Source organism: Homo sapiens, chromosome 2, assembly GCF_000001405.40.
Source record: "Homo sapiens chromosome 2, GRCh38.p14 Primary Assembly".
NCBI lineage: Eukaryota > Metazoa > Chordata > Mammalia > Primates > Hominidae > Homo > Homo sapiens.
In genome coordinates this window covers 48,803,020-48,813,141 of record NC_000002.12, presented here as the reverse complement: position 1 = coordinate 48,813,141, position 10,122 = coordinate 48,803,020, and the positions used below count along the sequence as shown (strand labels likewise).

Sequence of the window (10,122 nt, the reverse complement as noted above, 5' to 3'; positions counted from 1 at the left end):
ACAGGCAGAGACTGGAACAGTTTGGAGGGCTCAGAAGAAGACAGGAAAGTGTGGGAAAGTTTGGAACTTCCCAAAGACTTGTGGAATGGCTTTGCCCAAAATGCGGATAACGATATGGACAATGAAATCCAGGCTGAGGTGGTCTCGGATGGAGATGAGGAACTTGTTAGGAACTGGAGTAAAGGTGACTTGCTATGTTTTAGCAAAGACACTGGTGGCATCTTGCCCTGCCCTAGAGATTTGTGGAACTTTGAACTTGAGGGAGATGATTTAGGGTATCTGGCAGAAGAAATTTCTAAGCAGCAAAGCAATCAAGAGGTGACTTGGCTGCTATTAAAAGCATTCTGTTTTAAAAGGCAAACAGAGCATAAAAGTTTGAAAAGTTTGCAGCCCAACAATGTGATAAAAAAGAAAAAACCCTTTTCTGAGGAGAAATTCAAACTGGCTGCAGAAATTTGCATAAGTTAACAAGGAGCCAAATGTTAATCACCAAAACAATGGGAAAAATGTCTCTAGGGCATGTCAGAGACCTTTGCAGCAGCCCCTCCCATCATAGTCCCTGAGGCCTAGGAGGAAAATATTTTTTCATGGGCCTGGCCCAGGGCTCCCTGCTGCGTGCAGCCTAGGGACTTGGTGCCCTGCATCCCAGCTGCTCTAGCCATGGCTAAAAAGGGCCAAGGTATAGCTTGGGCTCTAGCTTCAGAGGTTGCAAGCCCCAAGCCTTGGCGGTTTTCACATGGTATAGCGCCTGCAGGTGCGCAGAAGTCAAGAATTGAGATTTGGAAACCTCTGCCTGATTTCAGAGGATGTATGGAAATGCCTGTATGTCCAGGCAGAAGTTTGCTACAGGGGTGGGCTCTCATGGAGAACCTCTGCTACGGCAGTGTGGAAGGGAAATGTGGGGTTGAAGCCCCCATACTGAGTCCCTACTGGGGCACTGCCTAGTGGAGCTGTGAGAAGAGAGCCACCATCTTCCAGATCTCAGAATGGTAGATCCACCAACAGCTTGCACCGTGTGCCCGGAAAAGCCTCAGGCACTCAACGCCAGCCCATGTAAGCAGCCAGGAGGAGGGCTGTACCCTACAAACCCACAGGGCCAGGAGCTCCCCAAGACCATGGGAACCTACCTCTTGCATCAGTGTGACCTTGATGTGAGACATGGAGTCAAAGGAGATCATTTGGGAGCTTTAAGATTTGATTGCCCTGCTGGATTTTGGACTTGCATGGGGCCTGTAGCCCATTTGTTTTGGTCAATTTCTCCCATTCAGAATTGCTATATTTACCCAATGGCTGTACCCCCATTGTATCTAGGAAGTAACTAACTTGCTTTTGATTTTACAGGCTGATAGGCAAAAGGGAGCTGTCTTGTCTCAGATGATACTTTGGACTGTGGACTTTTGAGTTAATGCTGAAATGAGTTAAGACTTTGGGGTACTGTTGGAAAAGTGTGATTGGTTTTGAAATGTGAGAACAAGAGGTTTGGGAGGGGCCAGGGGCAGAATGATATGGTTTGGCTGTGTCTCCACCCAAATCTCATCTTGAATTGTAGCTCCCATAACTCCCACATGTTGTGGAAGGGACCATGTGGAAGATAATCGAATCATGGGGGCGATTTCCCCCATACTGTTCTCATGGTAACAAATAAGTCTCACAAGATCTGATGGTTCAATAAGGTGATTCTCCTTTCACTTGGTTCTCATTCTTTCTTGTCTGCTGCCATATAAGATGTCCTTTCACCTTCTGCCATGATTGTAAGGCCTCCCCAGCCATGGGGTACTGTGGGTCCATTAAACCTCTTTTTCTTTATAAATTACCCAGTCTTGGGTATGTCTTCATCAACAGCATGAAAATGGACTAATACAATTTACTACATTAGAAGATAAGGTTGAAGAAATATTTCTAAAATTAGAACAAAAAGGCATAGGTAGAAGATAAAAGAGAAAATAGAGTCAATCCAGAAGATCAAATCCAATATCAGATTTACATAAGTTCTAGAAATCAGTACAGAAGGTCAGAGGAAAGAAAACAATCAAAGAAGTAATACAAAGAACTTTCTGGAACTAAAATACATGAGTCTCCAGATTGAAATGGCCTAGTAAATATCCTGTAAAATAAACAAAAAAAAGGCACAAACCATCCCCATGAAATTCCAGAACAATGGAGATTAGAGAAGATGCTTAAAGCTTCCAGACAAACAAAAAAAGCAGGTAAGAATAGCATCCTATTTCTTAAAAGCAGCAGAAGCTAAAAGAAGATGCCTACAAAATTCTGAGGGAAAATACTCTCCAGCCAAGAATTCTATGCCAGCCAAATCATGAATCAAGTAAGAAGGTCAGATAAAGATATTTCTAGACATGCTCAATCTTTTTTTAAAAAAATAGAAAATTGCCCATGTATTCTTTTTTAGAAAGCTTCAGCCAAATGTGTTCCAACCAAACAACTGAGAAAACCAGGAAAGAAGGAGACATGAGGATCAAGAATAGGGACTCCAACACAGGAAAGAGGTCAAAAGAATCTTAAGATGATAACTGGGCAGCAAACTGAGATAGCAGCTCGTCCACATTTGGAGTAGTTGACTAGAGGCTCCCAGGGAGATGTCTCCTACAGGAATAAAGGAACTATTTGATTACTTCATGTGTTTAAATGGAGTAAAACGAGTTTTACAGCTTTAGTGAAATATATGGGAATGAATTATTGATAGATACATAGAAAACTAAGCAAATGATACAGGAAGTCAATTAATGATTCCAAGGAAAAGTTGCAAAAGAAAAAAATGAAGTTGTAGAACACTATGTCTCAGCTGTAAATAATATTGACAAAGTCAAGATGAACAAAAATAGTGGCTTCGCTATATTGAGAGACAGAAGGAGAGACATTAAGACATTAAGGAAGTGTATAAAAGGAGTTATTTAAGAGAGCAAAATCATCATCCTTTTATTTTACCTAGTTAGCTAAACAGCAAAGAAAAGCAGCTAAGAGTTGAAAGTGGTTCCCTACCAGAGACAGAATCAGGATGAGCAGGCATGAGACAAGGAACTACTGATTTGTGTAAACCAAGTTAATTAAGATACCAGTAGCAGGGAACTGGACTAACGGTGGCTTACTATGTGAGGATACTTGTTGTTTACTTTTTCAAAAAATGTACAGAAATAGATGGGCTTGGAAGCTCAGTGACATCACTGAGGACTCATTGCTTTCCAGCTTTCTGCTCCACCATCCTCAGTGTGTTGCTTTTCAACCTTGTTCACTCAGGGCTGCAAGGTGGCTGCCACAGATGCAAACATTGTGTTCACAGGCAGATCATGGGAGACAGATTGCCCGTGACTGAGCAAGAAAGTTGTCTTCATGTAACTCTTCCCTCTCATTAGTGAATCAGTTAGGATTAGTTTTGATAATGAGTGATAGGGACCCAAAATTAGAATGTCTAGAGCAAGGCAAAATCTTGTTCTCGCCACTCTAGAGGAGGTAGGTTGTCCAGGATTGGTATGAGGTTTACTTACTCTGTGATCCCTTCAGAAAACAAGCCTCCATCTCTCTTGTCATTCTACTAGTCACAGCTTCCTTTCTCAAGGTGACTTCATAGTTCCAGAAGGTTACAGCAGCTCCAGCCATCATGTCAACATTACAGCCAGCAGGATGGAGGAATGAGGAATAAAAAGGACACATGAGAGCTTTCTTTTGACGAAATTTCCTGAAAGCTGCCACAAAACACTTTTGCTTATATCCTACTGGCCAGGATTTAGTCACAAAGCCACAACTAGCTAGAAAAGACACTGGAAAATGCAGTATTTATTCCTAGTAGCCATATGCACAGCTAAAACTTAAAAGTTCTAAAAAAAAAAAAAAAAAGGGAAGAACAAAATAACAGATACCTGGCAGTCTTCACCACAATTAGAAAGGAAAATATCTTTCCTGGAAGACCCTGAGTAGAGTCCACCTTACATCTCGTTAGCCGAAACTGGGTCACATGGCCACCTCTGCCTATGAGAGAGGCTGGTGATGGGAGAATCTGGACTTTCATCCTCTGCAGTAGAAAGCAAGCAACAGAGACAGGGGTTGAGAATGGCTGCAAATAGCCAAACAAGTGCCTGCCTCACAAATCTTGTAGCACAATTTGACCTTAAAGCTATATACACATATTACTTTTATGTTTTAATGTCTATAAATTTTAAAATGTATATAAATAACAAATAAGTAAATTTGTTTTTATGGGAAAACTTGTCAAGATCTGCTGCCACACTCCCTCCATCTTCTTAGTGAATAAATAAAAGAAAAAAGTTACAAAGTCAAAATACATACACACAAATAATAGCAATGGCTATTCATATAGTCTGTTTATGTCATGCTTTGCCACATTGATTCTGTCATTTATTCAACAAACATTTATTGAATGCTTGCTATGTACAAAGGTATATGGACATGACTGAGTCTCAGTTCATGCCTTCAAAAAGGTCACAGGTTTGAAGGAGAGAGACACAAAGCCCATTTTTTACAATACGGCATGACAAGCACTAGGTTGGAGGATTGCAGGGGATGACAATTGCAACAACCCAGAGAAGGGCCATTGAAGTTGGCCCAGCAGACAGGGGAGGCTTCCCTGAGGAGGTAATTTTTGAGCTGTTTTGAAAGATAGGCAGAAATGTGCCAGGAGATGAAAAGGGCATGGAAAGGACATCAAGCCACAGAAGAATGAACACAAAGGCATGCATCACATTATAGCTAGGAAGAATAAGCCACATTATTACCCTGTCTATCACAGATATGAACAGGTAAGCATGCAATTTACATTTAACAAACATTTGGTAGAGTGAATCAAGAGGAATAGCAACTCTCTTAATCTACTTCAGCTTAACTAGTACTCTAGATCAGGAGTTGGCAAACTATGGCCCTCAGGCCAAATCCCATCTGCTGCCTGTTTTTGGAAACAAAGTTTTATTGGGATATAACTACACTCATTCATTTACACATTGTCTAGGGCTGCTTTTGTGCTATGATGGAAGAGTTGAGTAGTTGGCCATAGAAACTGTAGAGTCTTGCAAAGCCTAAAACATGTACTACGTGGTCCTTTATGGAAAAAGTTTGCTAACCCCTATTCTAGATGAGCTGATATCCTTCATTCCCTTTAAAACATACAGCACTCTGAGCTCAAAGCTAACAAGTAATAAATAATAATATATCCTTGCATCCCACCAATTTAGTTATATTCTTTCCAAGAGTAAATTGTTCCCAAATGTGTTTTGTCAGTTTCATGTGTTGATGTAAATATCTAATTCAATAAAATATTGTGTATATTAATAAAATGAGTGTGAAAAGGAAGAATGTTTCTATTTTAAAAATTAAGCAGAATACATTGAAAAATATCCATCACACCATGCTAATAAAAGTTATCAGTGAGTCAGATGTGAATGAGACAACTATAATTATAAAATATTAAGATTTTACCTTGCAAGTGTGTATAACTTTCACTCCATGTTTTAAAACCCTAAAATTAGAAATCAGAGATGATGCATTTAGGGGAGATGTTTATACAAGAAAGACAACACAAAATTACGATTAGCAATACATCCTTAGAGAGCAGTCTTGGCTCAACATCAACTGACAGGAGTTCCCCTAAAAACTCAGATTAAAATTAAACTAAATATTTTAAGTAAGTAAGTGAGTGATTAAGCAAATAGTATGTAGATAAATATTAATGTATATTTACTGGATTCTTTTTAAAATGATTCCATGACTTAACCAACTCTTTACTGTAAGGAGAGGAAAAGACAAAGTAACTGTGTTTGTTTGTGTGAACAGAGACATAAGATTTCAACTCCCTAAATTTTCTGGGGCCCATCTTGTTCTGCAAGACTCATCTCTCAACCAACCACTGCCTTGACCCCAAAAGGGGTCCAGCCTATGGGCACCCATTGCTGCCCAGTGCCAGCTCCTGAGAAAGTCAGACAAACAGGACTCAGACCTCACACTCCTGGCTCTGGATCAGAAAGGAAGAATGAGCTGACACTGGCCCCATGATGAGCAGAAATTAATTACCAGGTTAGCCTGTGAAAATGTCAACTCATTAAATCCCCAAAGTGCGACATCTAAGCTCTGACAAGCGATCTAGGAAATAAAATGGAAAAAAATAAAACAGCCCCTCTTCCTTACAAGTTACACAAATTCAAAGTTCAGAAAACTTTTTCTTTGGTCTCTTTGCCCGTCACCTCATAGAACCTTGGATCCACCTTTAATCTGGAGCTTCAAACAAATCCCTGCTTCCTTAGGGCTCTAAAAATAATTGTGTTCCTTGTGGTACATTAACTCTTTTCAAAAGAATAGTCAAATTGCTCATAAAACAGCTGGTTATTTTCTCAAGATCCTTGATTAAACCTTGTTTTTTCAGAGAAGCCTATTTGGTTTTTTTCTAGCTAATTTCCCCTCTGCCCCCAAAGGCTATCCCTTCCAGAGAAAGAAAAAATGCTTCTTATTCAGTTTTCCATCCTGGAATCACAGCGGTGAGCAATGTGACATCAGATATGGCATTAAGAAATCTTGAGCCCACCAGGAAGCTCCCTAAAGAAGGGCCATGTTCTCCAGAGTCATCCTGGGCTCTCAGGCTCTCCACCACCACCAAGGACAGAGCTATGCAGGCAGGAGATGCCCCAAAAACACACACTGAAGATGAGGAACAAACAATGATGAAAAATCCAGGACCCAGACTCCATATAAACCTGCCCTCCAACTAAGTCAGTTTCCAAAGACATCATTCTTCCTCTTTCTAAACCTCTGCCCACATTGTTTGCCCCCACCTCCATCCCCAAATTTCCAATGCAGGTCACATTTCACCTTTTCTTCAAAATCTTTTCTTAATACTAAGTGGGGCCCTCTGACATTCTCCCTGCCTCACCCATCTATCACTATTTGGTATGAACATTTATTGTGATCATTGGCTTAAATTCAATCCAGCACTATTTTCTATTCTGTCTTCTAGATTCCAACTTACCCATGTCACATCTGAGAGCAAGGCCGTGCCTTATTCCTCCTTTTTCTCTTGCATTGTATTCAGCAAAACAAAGTATTTTGCAAAACATGTTTTCTTTTCCTTCTCACTTACCTACCGTCTTTTCACAGCCCCCAAATAGCAACCAGTGTCCTTTGAGTGGAAGCCCTACTTGGGCCAATTCCTTAAGCATAGGAACCATATGAATACAAAGCTTCCAAAATGCTTCGTACTAGGAGTCCATGAATTAACAACCCCAGAATCTCATATTCTATGCCATAACATAATTATGTTTGCTTATGAATAGAGGAAACAAAATTGCCCTCTCAAACTCAGGTGTAGTGGGCAGTCTGTATGGTGGTATTCACCTTACAGACTGGTATTCATGCCCTTGTACAATTTCCTGTCTTTGTATATGACCTGTACCTACCAACTTACTTCTAATTAATAGACTGTGGCAGAGCCATGGAATGCCATTTTCGAGATTAGGTTACAAAAAGACTATGCCCCTGTATTAGTCTCTCTTTCTCTCTCCCCACACCTTGCCTTTTCTTTTCCCCAGTCTATCCCCCTCTCTTCTCCCTCTGTCTCTGTCTGTCTGTCTGTCTGTCTGTCTCTGTCTCTCTCCCTCTCTCAGCCTTTTCTCTAAGGTAATCAAGTTGCTATGTTGTGAGTAATAGCTCTGTGGAGAGGTCCACAGAGCAAGGAAATGAGGTCTCCAGTCAATATCCAGAGAAGACTTGAGGCCTGATACATGACTGAGCTTGGAAACAGATCTTCCCCCAGTCAAACTTTGAGATGACTTCAGTCCCAGCTGACACATTGATTGCAATCTTATGAGAAACCATGAGCCAGCGACATCTAACTAAACATTCAGTTTTGTTTTGTTTTGTGACAGGATTTTACTCTGTCGGCCAGGTTGCAATGCAGTGGGGCAATATCAGCTCACTGCAATCTCCGCCTTCCAGGCTCAAGTGATCCTCCCACCTCAGCCTCCCTAGCAGCTGGGACTACAGGCACATGTCACCACCCCTGGCTGATTTTTTTTTTTTTTTTTTTTTTCTGGTGGAGACGAGGTTTCACCATGTAGCCCAGGCTGGTCTTGAACTCCTGAGCTCGAGCAATCCACCCACCTCAGCCTCCCAAAGTCCTGGGATTACAGGGTTTGGTATTTTAAGACACCAAATTTTGGGGTACACAGCAATAAATAACCAATACACCAAGTTTTCCACAAACATTAGATTTTTTTTCTGCAAAACTAAATCTAATGTAGGCCCCCTCCTCTCTATGCCAGATTGGCAAGAAATTATCTTATTCAATCCTGTAACTCTATATGCACATCTATATCTCCCAGAGTACTATCAAAGTCTCAGGGTATTTGGGACAGGGTATTTGAGGAAGGGCCTTCAGTCCTTGGTTTGTACTGGTTACCACTACTAGGCTCATTGCCCAGCTGTGCATGGCCCTTGGAGTTAGCGGGTGAAGAAGCTCCACACATTCCCTGCCAAGCCTCTGCTCTACCACTGGGACTTTTGCTGAGGCTAGAGCCCAGCACTCAAGGCCAGCCTACCCTCTGCAGTTCTCAGTTGCCAATCAGGGATAGGGGCATCCGGGCCCCTCATAGCCCTGCATCCCTTCCCAGGCTTCTCAGAATCTCCTTTCTCTGTCAGTTCCAACTCTTTTCTTCACATCTCTCCATCCCTGCATATACATACACATGCCCTTACACAATTTCAAAGAGTTTAGAGTTTTGAGAAAGCCTGAAAGATAATTATCTTCAAGCTGCTACTGCAACAAGAACACAATGGCCTTCTCAGAATTCAGGAAAATTTTTAAAAAAAATTGTTCTCATTCTTTCTGATGCTTCCACGCCCTCAACCAAAATACAAATTAAGGTTTCAATAAATAATCTCACTGCACTTATTTTCCCCACATATTCAAGAAGAGATTTATGCTCCAAAAAGGGTTGCCATGTTTACCCTAAGGTTTGTAATACCTTCCAGCACTCTGCAGTGAACCACCACCTACCACCTCCCAACACACACCACCACACACACAGCACTGTAAGCAGCTCAATAATGGTGGAATGAGAGACTTCCTAGTAGGAACCTACTTCTTCCAAATCTCCCTCACTCTATTAAAGAATAGCCCAAGCAACCAGCCACAAGGCAGGCATCATGCAGGCATAATTGGAATAAGCTTCTACTAATTGTGTGTGATTTAAGTTGAACCAGGGAAGTCTCTCAGACACAAAATATCTTCCTAGTGGCCTGTAACAATCACTAAACTTCATTTTTAGAGCCTGGCTCATTTGGGTTTAAAGCATTGTTACTCCAAAGTTAAATTATCTATTATGCTACTTTTAGCCAGGAGCACCTTCTTGGAATTTAGCTTATCAGTTCTTTTCTAAGAGTCAGCTTATTGAAAAAAAGAGTGGGTTCTGCTATAAATGGAGGAAGAGGAATAAAGAGGTTTTGAACAGCAGCAGTGAAGGCATCTTGACTGCTCGAGGCAGTCATTGGGAGTGGGATGAGTAGAAAAATGCTCCTTATTACTGTAAATGTGTCACGACTATTGGGGTTATAATACATTATATTCTGTTATGGTTACTCCATGAAGACTGATTTTTCTATGAAGGCCTCCCCTGTAACTAGATACGGCCTCATGAAGGGTCATTGTTAGTGTTCAGTAATAAAGGTATACGCTAATGTACGAGAAGAAACCAGAAATGAAAGATCTAGACATCAGAGTCTAGATGTCTGGGTGGATATCCATAGGTGGTATGTACAAAGATAATGTCCTCCCCATAAAGAGAGACCAGGCTGGGTCTCTTCCCAAAGATACCTGAAGAATACGGTAGGAACTGTCTGCACTCAAAAAAGATCTATTTATAAAGAAAATTTCATAGTGTTCTTTGTATGGTAGTTACTTGACCCTCAGCTTGTGAGAGACCAAATCAGTTGAGCAACTGCCTGAAATGTCCCTCTTGAAGGGGCTACAACACTGCCAGAAATTCAGCAAGGAGTAAATTGTATTTACTGAAGCTCCTCTAAAAGAAAAAGCGTACTGATTGAAAATAATTTGGGAGGGAAAGATTGAGAGAGACCCTGAGGGTCAGGTCTTCCAAAAATGGTAAAACTGGT

General features: G+C 41.1%; 1 long non-coding RNA gene across 3 annotated transcripts in view; it reads right to left on the bottom strand.

Moving 5' to 3' along the window:
* Positions 1-1,806: 1,806 nt before the first annotated feature.
* Positions 1,807-10,122, bottom strand: part of LOC105374594 (uncharacterized) — a 33,971-nt gene continuing 25,655 nt past the window's right edge. For all 3 annotated transcript variants that reach the window (XR_001739460.2, XR_001739458.1, XR_001739459.1), the window contains 3 exons: positions 5,443-5,482; positions 3,873-4,024; positions 1,807-3,575 (listed from right to left, as the gene is read on the bottom strand). This is a non-coding gene — a long non-coding RNA (uncharacterized LOC105374594). The remainder of the gene's footprint in view (positions 3,576-3,872; positions 4,025-5,442; positions 5,483-10,122) is intronic.